This window comes from Homo sapiens, chromosome 8 (assembly GCF_000001405.40).
Source record: "Homo sapiens chromosome 8, GRCh38.p14 Primary Assembly".
Lineage (NCBI taxonomy): Eukaryota > Metazoa > Chordata > Mammalia > Primates > Hominidae > Homo > Homo sapiens.
Genome location: NC_000008.11, coordinates 14,463,101 through 14,480,379, shown reverse-complemented (window position 1 = coordinate 14,480,379; position 17,279 = coordinate 14,463,101). Strand labels below are relative to the sequence as shown.

Here is a 17,279-nt window from a genome sequence, read left to right as displayed (position 1 = left end):
AGGAGGCTGGAGAAAAAATAAGAGAATATGGTGTCCTGAAGAAAAGAGAAAAAATATTTCAAGGAGCAGTGATTGTAGATGTCAAAGGAGTAGAATGTAGACGCTGTTGCTAAGTGTAATGTACTAGAATATATTACACTTGGCATTGTGTACTTTATTCATACATAAAGTATATGGCCAATGTATAAATAGTTACCTATATTAGTCATCTTGAAAACTGTTTCAGTGTAGAAGTAGAAGAATATAAGCCTGAATGAAATAGGTTCAAGAGAGAATGGGATTACAGTAATTGAAGACAAATGGTTAGAAATAAACAGCTATAAAGGAGAAATGGCTGGCCAGTCGCGTGGCTCACGCCCGTAATCCCGGTGCTTTGGGATGCCGAGGCGGGTGGATCACTTGAGGTCAGGAATTCGAGACTAGCCTGACCAACATGGTGAAACTCTATCTTTACTAAAAATACAAAATTAGTCGAGCGTGCTAGTGCACGCCTGTAATCCCAGCTACTTGGGAGCCTGAGGCAGGAGAATTGCTTGAACCTGGGAGGCGGAGGTTGCAGTGAGCCGAGATCATGCGATTGCACTCCAAGCACTGCAAGAGCTAAACTCCATCTCAAATAAAAAAAAAAAAAAAAAAAAAAAAAAAAAAGAAGTAGAATTCTGGAGGTATGCGACCTGGGGGTAAAGAAAGTTGTTAGTTTTTATCACATTAAATTAACTCCATTTTGTTGTTTTTTGATGTGAAGGACTTAGCAGAGGAATTAAAATTGCAGAAGCAGCAGCAAGAAAATTGCAGGGATGATAGCTCTAAATAGATAACAGGTGTGATGGTTAATACTGCGTGTCAATTTGATTGGATTGAAGGATACAAAGTATTATTCCCAGATGTGTCTGTGAGGGTATGGCCAAAGGAGGTTAACCTTTGTCAGTGAACTGGGAGACCCAAACCCACCCTCAATCTAAGTGAGCACCATCTAATCAGCTGCGAACGCTGCTGAAATAAAAGCAGGCGGAGCAAAGAGGAAATACGAGACTCGCTGAGTCTCCGGGCCTCTATTTTTCTCCCGTGCTGAATGCTTCCTGCCGTTGAACGTTAGACTGCAAGTTCTTCAGTTTTTGGACTCTTGGACCTACAACAGTGGTTTACCAGGGGCTCTCTGGCCTTCAGCCACAGACTGAAGGCTGCGCTGTCGGCTTCACTACTTTTGAGGTTTTGGGACTCGGACTGGCTTCCTTGCTTCTCAGCTTGCTGATGGCCTATCGTGGGACTTCACCCTGTGATCCTGTGAGTCAATACTTCTTAATAAACTCTATTTTATATGTACCTCTATCCATTTAATCCTGTCCCGCTGGAGAACCCGAATACAACAGGAGACAGGACCTAGTCACAGTTAGAGGGGTGGGCATTAGAAGCAGACAGTTTATCCGTATGAAAACGAGAGAGAACAGAATGTAGGTGTAGATACAGGAAGGTGAGCAGATGTAGCGACCAGAGATTTTGAAGTTCTTGCCAGATTACTACCTTTTTACAAGTGAAACAGAAAATAAACTCGTCAACAAGAGTGAAAATGGGAAGTAGAGAAAATAAATAAGAACTGTTACTCTGAAAAAGCGTGATAGTGAATGGAGCAGGGAATATTAATTTTTTGGGGGAAATATAAAGACACGAGATTTGCAATCATGAATTTAAGCTGAAACAAATCAACCAGATTCCCTCTTAGTTACTCTATTTTAAATTTCAGTTTCATTTTTTAAAAAATCTGAACACAATATCCATAGTTACAGTCTTTTACAGTAGCGTTTCACTGCCCTAAAAATCGTCTGGGCTCCACCTACTCATCCCTCTGTCCCCCATAACACCTGTCAATCACTGATTTTTTCAAACTGCTGCCATAGTTTGGCCTTTCTTGGAATGTCATGTAGTTGGAATCATACAGTATGTAGCATTTTCTGATTGGCTTCATACTGTTAGAAACACGTATATGAGATTCCTTCATGTATTTTTATGTCTTGATTGGTCATTTGTTTTTAATGCTGAATACTATTTCATTATCTGAGTGTGTTACAGTTTATCCATTTACCTAACGAGGGACATCTTGGTTGCTTACCAGTTTGGCAAATAAAGCTGCTATAAACATTCTTGTGCTGGTTTTAGCGAGGACCTGTTTTTAACTTCATTGGGTATATGCCAAGGGGCATGATTGCTAGATTATATGATAAGATTATGCTTAGTTTTGTAAAAATGCTGCCAAACTGTCTTCCAAAGTGATGTAACATTTTCATTTCTGCAGTGAATGAGGATGCACATTGTCCAGTATCCTCACCAGAATTTGGTGCTCTCTGCTTTTCATATTCATCAGGTTCCTTCTTCATAATTATTCTGCACTTACTTGGAAAATTAAAGTCTTCAACTCATTCCTTGCATCATTTCTTAAACAATCTTTAGTGAGTTCCTTAAAGTCTAAAAATCTCCAGAAGATAAAAGTTAACTGTATATTGAGAGCTGAAGGTGACAGGACCAAGGAGTGATATTAAGTTGGTGATGATATAAAACCTCAGCTGAAAAATTATTTTATCATCTAAGGCAGAGGTATGATTTTTCAGACACATTTCCTACATTTCCTTCTCTTTTACATGTGTGAACTTAAGATAGTCTGGAGTAGCATATTCTTAGGAAAAGCAGAACACTTCAAAAAATTTATGTTTAGAAAGTTAGACCTAACGTTTTCATGGTAATTAGACTAGACTTAGCTAAATAGAGCCATTTATTAACCTTTTGTATATATTGTTTTAGACAGATTTAGTAGATGATAAACTACTGAAGGAGAATAAAATAGTGTTAAGGCTACTTTGAGGAGGTATCTAATAAAAATAAGACAATTGTGGTATTTCTACTACCCACACTCCATTTAGAATACTAATAGGATAATAAAAATCACTAGTATGTAAAACAACTCACAGTGGTAAGAAGTATAAAAATATAGGTAGCAAATTTCAGTGAAGAATATTAACATTCATTAATGAGCTCATAAAATCAAACACTTAAAACCAAAGTAAGTATCTCAAAGTTGGTTTTAAAGGGTTTTGCTGTGGTGGTGGTTTTTGTTGTTGTTTTGCCAACAGCCTTCTCCTTATTAATACAACGGTAGTAGGCCAGTGAAAATTCATATGAATAATTTTATAAATAGGTATTTTACACAGTTAAATATTGATGTTTATAATCTATTACTGTAAATTAGTCACAAAAATGAAAAGACACATAGAGTGAATTTGAAAGGAAGGAAATATTAAGGAAAGTAGAATAAGTAGGGTTTAATTAAATCAAAAATTAGGTGAAAAATATTTGCAACCAGTAGGCAGTCCTCAAATATTTCCCAATGGGAACAAAATAGGTATATAGTGTGGATAGCAAGTATGGTTACAGCCTGCTTTTGTACCTTTTGGAAAGCACAACGAGGGGAATGTAATAGTTTGGTTTAGAGTACATGAATGTCTGTCTCTTTCTGAAAGTGTATAAAGGAGGTTGGGGACTGATTGTCTAAGACAATGAAGCACAAGGCGAAAAGTATGTATGCAGAAGTCAAACCGTAGTGGATTTTAGTTCTTATGGCAGCCAACTTGTCACAACTTCATCATGTCATCTGAAAGTATGAATCTTAATAGCTATCTCACCAAGTTGTTGTAAGAATCAGTGTATTAGCATACACAGTGGGACTTGGGTAGAATTTGAAACATAGAAATTGCTCAATAAATGAATCATTAATCTTATTAAACTCTGATTGACCATTAGCCATAGATAAGCAGATGTCCTCTCAAGAGTTAGAGAGAGAAATGTGGCATCATTGTGGGCTTTTTAAAATTACTAGCTCACTAATAATTTGTTACTTTAATTTTTATTATTATAATAAATTATATACATGCATACATATATATATTATTCAGGGTTCTCCAGAGAAATAGACTCAGCAAGACATATAGAAATATATAAGGAAAGATTTATGATGGGAATCAGCTCATATTCATTATTATGGAGGCCCACAAGTCCAGTGTTCTGTCTGTAAGCTGGAGAACCCATCTTCTGCTTTTTGTTCTCTTGGGGCAGGTCCCAGTGAGTTGGATGATACCCACCAACATTGGTGAGAGGGGACCTCTTTTACTCCTGATTCTTGACTACAGATTCAAATGCTAATACAGAAACACTCTCACAAAAACTCCCAGAAATAGTGTTTTCCCAGCCGTCAGGGCATTCCTTAACCCAGGCAAGTTGACTCATAAGAATAACCATCAGGCCAGCACACCAGTAATCCCAATACTTTGGGAAGTAAGGTAGAAGATTTGCTTGAGGCCAGGAGCCAAGATCAACCAGGGCAACATAGTGAGACCCTGTCTTAAAAAAAAAAAAATAGCTAGGCATGGTGGCGCAAACCTGTAGTGGGATGATATCTTGAGTCCAGGAGTTTGAGGTGACAGTGAGCTGTGATGACACCACTGCATTCCAGCCTGAGTGACACAGACAGACCCTGTCTTAAGTAAAAAATAAAATAAAATAACTATCACAATGTGTATATTCAACATTGTACTATTTGAACTAATATATTGCTTGTTGTGTGTGTGTATATATATATCATTGATATGGAACTTGTCATATAATTCCTTAATTTGGAATTGCTTCAGATTATTTTATCCTCTAGCTGTAAGACCCTCATTAAAAGATTCTGAAAGATTTGGATAGAAATTTGGTTTTATCTCCAACAATTTATAGCACAAAGTTGTCTTGTAAATAAAATCCAACCAATAAAGACATAAAACAAGCTGAAATATTAGCTCTATTGTGAGCCAACAATGAAAATTTAATCTTAGTACATTTTGAGTCACATGGGTTCTCTTTTGCTTTAATAACAATCACTGGAATGAAAAATGAATCATGCATGGATATGATCCTTTAAAAAAGGACTTTTGTTAAAAACCTTTTTATAGTTAATAATGTTTGCTGCTACTTTCATATACAAATTACAAAATTTATATTTACAATTACTTATTAGTTGCTTTACTTGTATTCTGGCAGCAACTCCACAATTCTTTTATTATGAATTGGAAAACATACCACTTCTAGAAGGTGATAATATTTAGATATTGAAATATACTGGAATAAAAAAGCAAATAAAACTATACATTTTCATTAGACTCATATTGAAATATAATTCTTTTGCTTTTTAATAGTATGATATTAAACATTAAACTTTTCACTTTGTGTTACAATGTTTAGAGCTGTATCAGAATCTACTTGTATGGTTTGAAATATTCCACTTCCTTAAAAAACAACAACAAAATAACTCATTGGATAAGTCCACAGCCTGATGCTAGATTGGAGAAGAAAAAATATGTATCTGAATACTTAATTCTTCTGGCATTCAGTACAGACATTTGGCTGCTTCAACTATAAAGACATCCAAAGAATGGCTTTAATTACAGCAGATTTGACCTTTTCAAATTTATCTCACACATTTTGGAATGATGCATTTGCAAGATTAAAGCTGTCTGTGACTTTAAAAAAAATCCAATATCTCTTTGGTGGCTAAAATCATTTGGATATAATAAAAGGTTTTGTCAAGGACAAGTAATTGATTTTTAGTGTGAATCAAAATCTAACAGTAAATTTAAGTGTTTTAGTTTTTGAGTATGGTTTCAAAGTTGTTTGGAGGATAATTTCTGCAATATGTAATTTAGAAAAGTATTTTTAAAAAATTTTAATGGACCTGTATGTTTTAATTTTTTATACAGGGCTACCTAGTATAATTTCTTTTTTTATTCTTGAAATTAATTCATGGAGCGCTCTACAAAGTAAAACCATGACTAAACATTGAGGAATAATTATGATGACTATTGCTGCAAAATGTGCATCTGATACTAATCAAATAGGTTTAAGAACTAATTTTTAGCATCACTTTCTGTGTGAACACACAAGTTTATGTGTGTGCTCACATATATGTGTGTGTGTTTCTGTAGATTTAGAAGTCTATAGACCCAAAATGCATCTTAATCAACTGCATGGATTTTTAAGATTTTTAAAAATGATTCAGAAATTTGGATGTTTGCATATGCATATCATTTGGTATGATAATGCAAATCAAAAGTGTTTTATTCTCGTTTTCATGTGTTTAGCAGAGTATCTTTAGTACATCAGTTGTGAGTGCAAAAAATGGTTTGTTTATTTAGAGAATATTAAATTGTGTTGTTGCAAGTCACTCTTCCCAGTTGCAGGCAGCCATTCATCAATAGAAAGATTCTATTTCTGTTGACAAGAGACTTCTTCTTTCCCCTATAACTTTCCCCAATCTTGTCCTCCCACAGAATGACTTATGCAAAATTTGGCAATTAAAACTAGTACCCATGGGGTATTACTTAAAGATATTATTTTTCATAAAAACTTTTTTTTTTTTTTTGAGACAGGGTCTTGCTCTGTCGCCCAGGCTGGAGTGCAGTGGTGTGATCTTGGCTCACTGCAAGCTCTGTCTCCTGAGTTCACACCGTTCTCCTGCCTCAGCTTCCCGAGTAGCTGGGACTACGCGTGCCCGCCACCACGCCTGGCTAATTTTTTTGTATTTTTAGTAGAGACAGGGTTTCACCATGTTAGCCAAGTTGGTCTCGATCTCCTGACCTCGTGATCCACCCACCTCGACCTCCCAAAGTGCTGGGATTACAGGCTTGAGACACCTCGCCCGGCCGCTTTTTCATTTTTTACTTCTGTTGACATATAAGATTTCAGTTCTATTCATTTGTGAATTTTCACCACATGTTTTCACTAATACCTATCACTAACACCTATGTAGTTGACAATTCTGGGTCAAAATTGATATTTTAGTTTTTGGTAGAAACATTTGTTGATGTATTGAATTCATTTTTTAATGTTATGTATACTTTCTTGCCTAATATTTATTCTAGGGTTGATGGTGAAAAATTCATGATATTTTAATGAAGTTATTTCATATGTATAATGTGATAACAAAATTAAAGAACTTTGGTTTAATCTGAATGCAACAGCATATGGAGGAGAAAGCTTTTCTTATTCTTAATAATCTTATACATAAAAATGAAATGTGAAAATAGTTACAATTTTAAACTATTTTACCTTAGTAAAATATGATTTTATCTGTTTCTCTAATACATAAAGAGAGTACTTCATAAACCTTTGTAATACATTTTAATAAGTATGGGAACAGGTGTGAATTTTATTATAGATTTTAATTCATTCTAAATTACCTCTTTAATGTTCAGTGACCCAGTTAGTTATTTATTTTAACTGAGCATTTCTCCTAGGTATCATTCAGAATTAGCAAGACCCATGAAATGTAAAATACTATTTATATTTTACAAAGACTCTTGGATTACCACTTCACCATCAGTTAACACCAACCGGGTCTTGCAGTTCTTGAAAAACTGCACAAGAAGATGGGGGTAACTTTTGTGGTTTAGGGTGAGAACTATTTGTTAAATTGTCTTCAGGGATAACTTAGCATTGATAATATAACCTTTTTTTGTTTTTGAAATAAAAACTAAACATTTTTATAAAGAGTTATTTATAGGTACAATATTAGTTTTTAAACTATTCTACATACACAAACAAATTTGTATAGAATAAAGTTTGAATGTATACAGGAGGAACATTTTAATACTGATATATTCCTTCTCCCAGTTAAATAGGGCAATACATGTTGCCTTTTGAGACCAGTAGAATGGAAGAGGATCCTTGCAATATGGGAAAACATTTACCACTGCACGCTTAAACATCAATATTGAGTTTTCTTATAATGTAATGATATCCCAGTATATGGTTGGGATAATTATCATGAAACTACTTTGGGTCTTTCTGTGTGTTAAAAGTATCACATTCTAAGTGATAAAAGTAAGTACAAAGTGAATATATAAATATCAAGCCTTGAGTTCATCAACTCACCACTATTCAGACTCAAAGACAATGGTATGGTAGGTCTGTGAATGGTACTGCAGAGGTATTGATTGGGTAAATACCTCTCTGGCTTTCAATCTAGTTAAAACCATGAACAAACAGCTTTCTTAAATAAAATATAAGCCTTTAATTAAACCTTATTTACCTTTAAATAAAGATATTAAACAAGATTCATGTTTTTCCATCATTTCAAAAAGATTACTGAGAATTTAATTCACAATTTAAGCTGCACAAACCAACTAAAGGTCACTTCTAAAATTACAATTGGAACTCTTAAAATTCATATAGTAAGACCTATGATCAAATGCTGAATTGCAAAAACCAGAGAAGCAAATTTCTTATTTGAGAAATGTAGTTTGGTAGGAACAGTCTTACAGATACAGGAGAAATAATAAAAGATTTTATTATTATTTATTAACTGCCACAGAGGTAAACAAATGAGATTCGGAAATTCAGCTTATATAACTGTGGGTATGTCTCAGTATCTCAGATGATGATGTATTTATTTGTCATTATTTCTTTGACATAGATACGATATTCATTGGAACCCTTAGTAAAATGCCTGAGAAGTGAATCTATTCATTTATTTAGAATCGTCATAATAGCAATTATTGGCAGATATGTATTTCATGTTTAAATTAACACTTGGAGTGATTTCTTAAATTCAGTGCTGTTAAATGGGCACGGAAATTATTATTTTTATTTATTGAATAGCTTCATAATATTTAGTAAATATTAAATTGGCTTTCAGCTTTATGTAGCTGATGTGACATTTGTGGTAAATTACTTTTCCAGGGAGTTGGTAATAATTATAGGATACGTTGAATAATTTCTTAGCAAAAGGAATCCTTATTTGAGGAAATTCATATGGGGGAACACAGTCTCCACTGAGAAACTCAACCCAGAGACTATGTCTTCCTTGTATATGTCATCAGAATAATTGGATGTTGTATCATTCATATATATATAAAATATATCATTGGAATGGTATGTGTGGCTGTTATCAGAAAAGTGGCATACATATTACAGGTGTTTAATGAGCATCTTTAGTACAATAGTACTATTTCTATAAGTATGATTTATAAGCATACGCTAATTAATGTATTTTTCAGCACTGCAAATTATTCACTATTATGTGATAATGAGTACACTACATGAGTCAAACAATAACATTCTACAATGACACAGATTGTCTATATTCTGAACCATTTAGTAGTTTTGACAAATATTAAATTGCCATGCTTTAGTCAATGTTACATTTAGGAAGAAAGCCCAAGTTATAAAACATTGAGTTTTTAAAGGCAAGCATTAGAAAAAATAACATTAATTAGATGTAATTAAAGTGTCTGGCTGAGAATGTGTTTTTTTCCAAAGTATTCAAATAAATGAAAGCAGGTTTTCTTGATGGCACTCCTTCAGTTAACTTAGGGTAGCGCCTCTTACTGGTACTGATGAAGTGATGATTGTGCCTGGGGCCAAGCTTACTAAAGATCTGATAAGCAAGTAAAATTGTTAACACGACTTATTGTGTCTCAGTGCCAGTGTCTAAATACACAAAGAACTGCCTATTTTGATATCAGTGGAGGACTATGGCAAAGCAATCTTTTCTAGGAACTCGAGTTCGAATGACTTTCTTTTGAGGTCTTTCCAAGAGAGTGATTTCATACATTTGGCACTTTTTATACATACCTTTATGTATTCATCTCCGTTCTGCATCAGAAAGGTTCTTAGTTTAATTACTGATTATCTCCAACCGTCATATAGTTAGTCTTTATTGTGTGCTCAGAAATAAACTTGGACAGAAAATAAATGGATAAAAATCATTTCCTAAACATGATTTTTTCAAGCAATTCTCCAAGAAAACTGGGGTTAGGAATATTGGGTCTGGAATTAAATAACTTTAATTCTTGCTGTGCTATTTTTTTAAGTTGTGACTTTTGACAAATTTTGCAACATTTATAAGAATTTGTTCCTTCCTAATTAAAATGAAATTAATAATAGCATCTACCTCATAGAGATGAATAAATTATATCTCTTAATTCTTACTACACGTATTAAGTGCTACTATGTGCCAACAAATTGACCAGGCACTGGAGATTATAAAAGAGTGAGGAGAAAACAAAGAAATAACCTCATTGTGTGCAGAAAAAACAAAACTCAGCATTTTTTTTTCTATTTTCTTACACAAAAATTAGCATAGATTTCTGTTACCAAACGTTGCGAGAAGTTTTTCCCACATATAAAGTAGTGGACACCAGTTGTCTTTTAATTCAGTTCTGATGCTGTCTACCTGGAGACAGCATCAGACCTCACAGATTGAGTGCTCAGTCTTCAAGACTGCACTGCTTCAGATGCCAGACATCAGTCCAGACATCTAGAACTTCTGACCAACCCAGCTTCAAGCTGGGGTTCCCATCAACCCATCTTTGGGTTCAATTAACTTGCTGGAGTGGATCACAGAACTCAGATAAACACATTTACTGGTTTATTATAAAGGATATTACAAAAGAATTAGATAAATTCACAGGACAAGATATATGGGAAGGGGCACAGAGCTTCCATGCCCTCTCTAGGAACCTCCATGTGTTCAGCTCTTCAGAAGCTCTCCTAAGACATTCTTTCTGGGTTTTTATAAGGGCTTTATTATGTAGACACGATTGATTAAACCATCAGCCATTGGCCGTTAACTTAACCTTTAGCCAATATCTCCTCCCTGAAAGCCAGGGGTGAGGTTGAAAGTTCTAACCCTCTAATCATGCCTTGGTCTTTCTGGTGACAAGTCCCATCCTGAAGCTACCTAAGGGATACTGGCCATCATTCCATCAGTAGCGTACAAAGAGACACCACTTCAAAGATTCCAAGGATTTTAGGAGTTGTATGCCAGGAAATGGGGACAAATGCATTTTATAATGCCACACTCATGGAGACAATCATTTATCAGATAATCACACAAATATAGATTTACAATTATGACATATGCTATGAAGGAGAGATTCCTGGTATGTTCCATGCATATGTGAGAGGGATTGGATTTGAGACAACAAGTAGACCAGACTGAGATCTCCAGAGCAAGCTGTATTTAAGGTCATATCTGAAGAAAGTAAAAGTTAAATAGGAAAATGCAAAAACCCTTCACAACAAAGAATTATCCAGCCCAACATGTCAATGATGCTGAGGTTGTCTTTCTGTATAGGTAGTAGTAAGATGGTGAAATTTAAAATCTGTCATAAGGATGTTTAAAAGCCATGTTTTTCCTTAGAAATGATAGGGCACCATTGAAGCAAAAAGTGGAGGGGTAGGAAAAGTGGTGGTGGTGACTTGCTGGATTTTCATTTTGAAATAATCCATTTTGGTTGTGGCATGGAGAACTAATTAGAAAGAAACAGGCCAAGAGGAGGCAAGAGGACAAGTGAGTAGGTTATTATAGTGGAAACAAGGCAGGATAACAGTAGATTCAATTAGGATGGCAATGGAATGTATGTAAAGTTAGTGTATACATGAGGCCTAATACATGTTAAGCATAATGCAATTTATTACTTTATATTCATTATTTGTTAGATGATGGGCAGCTTGATTTATCTGAGGTTACTTGGGCACAATAAGCTTGTTATATTTCAATGTACTTTGAAAATCATCAGGCTAATTTTATGGAGAGTTACTGAATTGAAAGTCTAGGAGAAACTGATTTTTATGTTTTTCTCTAAAAATTTGCATGAACTTGAATAAATTACTTAAGGTGTTAGTGTCTACGGTTTATCTGTGGCATTAGAAAGATAAAATGGATAATTATTTAAATCCTCATTTAACTCAAAATTTAAATACGTTAAGTCAATTATTTGCTGCACATTCAATATTGTGGAGTTAGATGAGGCACCACCTTTGCTCTCAAGATCTAATAAACTAGAAGATAAGATCAGACATGTATGAAACAGCTATAAGCCATTTTAAAAAGAGGCATTGAATAAAAATTTTGAGAGTGCAAAATAATTCCTGAAAGGTAACATCTTATTATTAGAGCAAGATATTTAAAATAAATTGATATTAGCCATATCATAAAAGTTTACTTCTTTATGCTTGTGCTCTAAAGATAAGGGTAGTCATTTTCATATGGTTTTTGTTCTAATTTATTTGAAGGATCTAGTGAATGAAATAGATTACTGCTGATGCCTATCACCCAATCTGTATATATCATTCTATCTGTATTATGCTGATGAACTCAATCAAAATCACATTACAACTTATGTAAAGTAATGTAGCTAGAAAGTGATGGAACTGGAATGATCATTAAACCCAAACTCATAAGCGATGTGCCACCTCTTTGAAAAAATGTAAGTGAAAATGTGTTGTGAATTAAGTATGTTTAGCATGTCTTTGCCATACATTTTTTATTAACACTTAGGAACTAATTTGACCCATATTAAATGGTCAATATTAAATTATTTGTGTTCTAATATATTATTTGTTTCAAAATAATATTTAAGTATGTTTTACATTTTCCAGAAAAGGGAATTACATAATCTTTAGCATGTGTGCAGTTTACTCTCAGAGAATGACTTTGCATCAGTAGGATCTGATTTAAGAAGATGTCATTTTCATCAAAAGCCTATTTAAATACTATTACAGTATGATGTAACTTGCTCTAGGAGTGTTATATGTCATAAGCAAGCACATGAGGAGGATTCTGGAAAGATGGAAGTGTAGGAAGGACCGAAAATATGCCTTCAGAACTAGAGAATAATTACACTGTCAGAATCTGTTACTACTTTGGAATTCTGATGTCTATTAAAGACTTGCAATTTCTGGAACAAGGTTTGGATGGTAAATTGTAGTTAATTTCAGTCGATTGCTCCTCGTAGCACAGTAGCAACTACCCATCTCAGAGCCCTCAACACATGACAGGCACCTGTATGTTCCTGAAGCAGTTTGCACACAGTTTTAGGGAACCAGAGTGGCAAAAAGGATTCTGTCCTCCAAATATAAGAGATTTGTGCTCAGATTGGTGATTATTGCTTCTGATTATAGAAGTACAGATAAAGAGACAATGGCCATTGTTTTTGCACTTGCCCCCATTGTTGAAAGCTCTTCCCCACTAGCTGAAGTGACTTTCACGGAATTAAAAGGGCCAGTGCCCCACCACTTATTTTTCTCTTTTTTTAAACTTTTGGAATCCAGGTATTAAAGACTAGCATCTTCAGAAGCAACCTCAAATATGGGAAAAATTACAAAGTTATTATGAATGTCCAGGAGAAGTCACAGTTTCAGAAATGACTTCTGAAAACATTAAGTTTACACCTCAAGACTAATTCACTAAAAGGGAAGAGTCTATAAGAATTAAAAATAAATAAATAAATAAGCAAAAACAAAAACCAGTAAAACCCGAGGAAGTGAGGAGAATCTAAAGGGATGCAGAAAAACAGAAATATATGACCTATTCAGAAGAACAAATAAAAAAAACTGTTCTTGAAAACAATCTGATGACAGATCCACGAGACAAAGATTTTAATACACTGGTCTTCAAGATGCTCAGAGTATTAAAGGAAGACATAGAGAAAATCAAGAAAACAATGTATAAACAAAATGAAAATATTAATAAAATATAGAAACCTAAAAGAAATCAAAAGGTATTTTAGAGTTGAAAACTACGGTAACTGGAACAAAAAGTTATTAGAGGATTTTAAAAGCAGACTTGAGCAGGCAGAGTAAAAAATTCCACAAACTAGAAGACAGGACAGTGGAAATTATTGAGTCTGAGGAATAGAAAGAAAAAAGATGGAGGTTAAGTGAAAAAAATTTAAGGAACATGAGGGAAACCATCAAGCAGAGCAATATGTGCACTGTGAGAGTCCCAGATGAAGAGGGATACAGTGGACAGAAATTATGTTTAAGGAAATAATGACACTGAATTTTCAAGAGTATAAAGATCCAAGGAGCTCAGTGGCTCCAAGTATAATAAACTAAAAGACTCTCACTTCAATACATGTTATAATCTAGACCTTTGGAAGACAAAGACAAAGAGAGACTATTGGAAGCCAAAAGACAAGTGACTCTTCACATGCAAAGGATGCTCAATAACATTACAGAAGATTTCTCTTCAGAAACTTTGGAAACCACAACGCATTGAGCAGATATATTTAAAGTAGCAAACAAACAAAAAAACTGGCAACCAAGAATCCTTTATCCAACAAACTGTCCATTGATAGTCAAGGAGAAATTAAGACATTCTCGGATAAAGAAAAGCTGAATAAGGTGAATAAGTTTATTACCACTAGGCCTGCTCTGCAGGAAATGCTCAAGGGATTCTATCAGGGTGGAATAAAAGAAAACTGGACAGTAACTTAAAGCCGTATGAAGAGATAAAGATATCAGTAAAGATAAACTGTGAGCAATTATGAAAGCTAGTATTATTTTAACAATATTTTATAACTCTACTGTTTGTTTTGTACATGATTTAAGAGAAAAATACATTAAAAACTTATTAGTCTAAAGCTGGTGTTATTGTAACTTAGTGTTGTAACTTACATTTTGTTTTCCTCATAAGAGACTAATGTATTAAAAATCATTTATGTTTTTGGATATACAGTGTATAGAGATATAATTCTGTGTCATCAACAACTGAAATAATTGGAGACAGAGGCATCAAAAGAGCAGAGTTTTCTACGTTATTGAAGTTAAGCTGATATAAATTCAAATTAAAGTGCTATAACTTTAAGATGTTAAATATAATCCCCATGGCAACCACAAAGAAAATGGCTAAATAATGTACATGAAAGAAAATGAGATATGAATTTAAATGTCTTCCTTCAGAAAATCAACATAAAAGATACAGTAATACAAGAAAGAAAAGACCCAAAAGCTACAAGGCATATAGAAAAGAAAATCACAGAAGTTAGAAATTAATCCTTTCTTATCAGTAATTACTTAAATGTACATGGATTAAAAATGATGCAACTGTACAGGAGACTCCCTCTTTATCCAAAGACACAAATAGATTGAAAGTGAAAGGTGGAAAATAATATTCCATGCAAATAATACCACGGATAGTTAAACTAATATCAGACAAAATAGATTCTTAAGAAAAGGTTCCACAAGAAAAGGACATTATATACTACTAAAATGTCCAATACTGGAAAAATATTTAATAACTATAAACATTTATGTACCTAATAGCAGAACATCAAAACATATGAGGCAAAAGTTGACAGGACTGAAGGGGCAAACAGACAGTTGTACAAAAATAGGTGAAGATTCAGTACTCTACTTTCAATAATAGGGAGAAACATCAGAAGTAAGGAATTAGGGGACATGAACAATGCAATAAACTGGATATAATAGAGATATATGGAACACTCTACTGAACAAAAGCAGAATACATATTCTTCTCAAGGGTACATGGGGCTTTTTCAAGGATAGACCATATGTTTGCCCACAGATTAAGTATTGGCATATTTTAAAATATAGATACCATAAAAAGTGTGTTATCCAACCACAATGGCATTAAATTAGGAATCAATAACAGAAGAGAAACAGGAAAATTCACATATTTATGGAAATTAAAAAACTCTGAACAACCAATGATCAAAAGATAAAATCACAAGGGATATAAAAATATTTAGAGGTGAATGGAAATAGAAATATAGCAAAACTTAAAGAATACACCAAAATCAGTGTTACATGGCGTATTTATAGTTATAAATGTTTAAAAGACAAAATATGTTTCAAGTCAATAAACAAACTTTATAACTTAAAGAATGATAAAAAGAAGAACAAACTAAACCCAAAAGTAACAGAAGGGAAGAAATCATAAAGACTAAAGCAGAGATAAACAAAATAAAGAATAAAAAATAAAGAAAATCAACATACAAATTAGGTTCTTTGAAAAGATCAACACAACTGGCAAACAGCTAGATGAACTAAAAAAAAAAAAAAAATACCACTCAAATTTCCAAAATCAGAATTGAGGGTGGAGACAGTACTACCCATTCTACAGTTATAAAAAGGATTATAAGAGTCCTACATGCAACTGTGAACTAAAAATTGGATAACCTTAATGAAATGGACAACTTCATAGAAAGACAAAATCACAAAGAAATAGAAAATTTGAATAGACCTATAACTGATAAGAAGATTGAGTTAGTAACCAAAAAAAAATCTCCTGACAAAGAAAAGCCCCAGATTTGATGGCTTCACCAGTGGATTCTACCCAAAATTTAAAGAATAACTAACATCAATTCTTCTCAAACTTTAACAAATGTCGAAGAGGAGGGAAACCTTCCTACATCAGCCTATGTGGTAAGCATTACCCAGATAGCAAAGCAAGACAAAAATACAAGATACAAAAACTAGAGACAAGTATTCCTTATGAACATTGATACAAAGCTCCACAACAAAATACTAGCAAAGTGAATTAAAAAGTATATTAAAAAGGTTACAAACCATGGCCAATAAGATTTATTCCTGGATGCAAGGATGTTTCAACACATAAAAGTCAATCAAGGTAACACACCACCTAAAGAGAATGAAGGCAGAAAAACACATGATCATCTCAACTGATGCAGAAACAAACAAACATTTGGCAAGACTTAACACACTGTCATAATAAAAAACTCAAAAAACTAAGAGTAGAGGGAAACTTCCTTAACATAATAAAAGCTGTCTAGAAAAACAGCAAACATCAATTTAATGGTTGAAGACTAAATGCTTTTACTTTTAGGTCAAGAACAAGACCTGATAGTGCCTTTTGTTACACATTTTTGAAAATATTTTCACAAAATACAGTTTGTCTGTGTTTTGTTTTGTTGTCTGTGCCTTTAGTATCATATTCAAGAAATCATTACCAAATCCAGTGTCATGAAGTTTTTGCCCAATGTTTCCTTAAAAAAATTTTATAGTTTTAGATTTCATATTTGGGTCTTTGATTAATTTTTAGTTAATTTTGTTATATATGGTATTAAGTAAGGGTTCAACTTCATTCTTTTGCATGTGGATATCCAGGGTTTTTTTTTTTTTTTTACACCACTTGTTAAAAACTTCGTATTCTTTTCCATTGGTCTACATGCCTGTGTTTATTCCAGTACTACACTATTGATTACTGTATCTTTATAATAAGTTTTAAAATCAGAAAGTGTGAGCCCTCCCAGTTTGTTCTTCTTTTTCAAGCTGTTTTTTGGCTATTTGAGCTCTCATGAGATTCCATTCTAATATTATTCAACATAATATTAGAAATTCTAACCAGAGAAATATGTAAAAATAAATGACAAATTGGAAAGGAAGAAACAAAATTATCTTTTTGCAGATAATATGATCTTAAATATAGA

At 33.5% G+C, this 17,279-nt stretch overlaps 1 protein-coding gene across 4 annotated transcripts in view, besides 1 other annotated feature; it reads left to right on the top strand.

The window, feature by feature from the left end:
• Positions 1 to 17,279, top strand: part of SGCZ (sarcoglycan zeta) — a 1,153,587-nt gene that overhangs the window by 758,052 nt on the left and 378,256 nt on the right. The gene's annotated exons all lie outside the window — the stretch shown is intronic.
• Positions 7,174 to 7,343: an enhancer, noted in NCBI's record as "experimental_102220 CRE fragment used in MPRA reporter constructs". NCBI's record gives its function as "activates a minimal promoter by MPRAs in K562 erythroleukemia cells, with activity observed for both the introgressed and non-introgressed 8:14330631 variant alleles {active_cell/tissue: K562}" and the evidence as "EXISTENCE:reporter gene assay evidence [ECO:0000049][PMID:34662402]".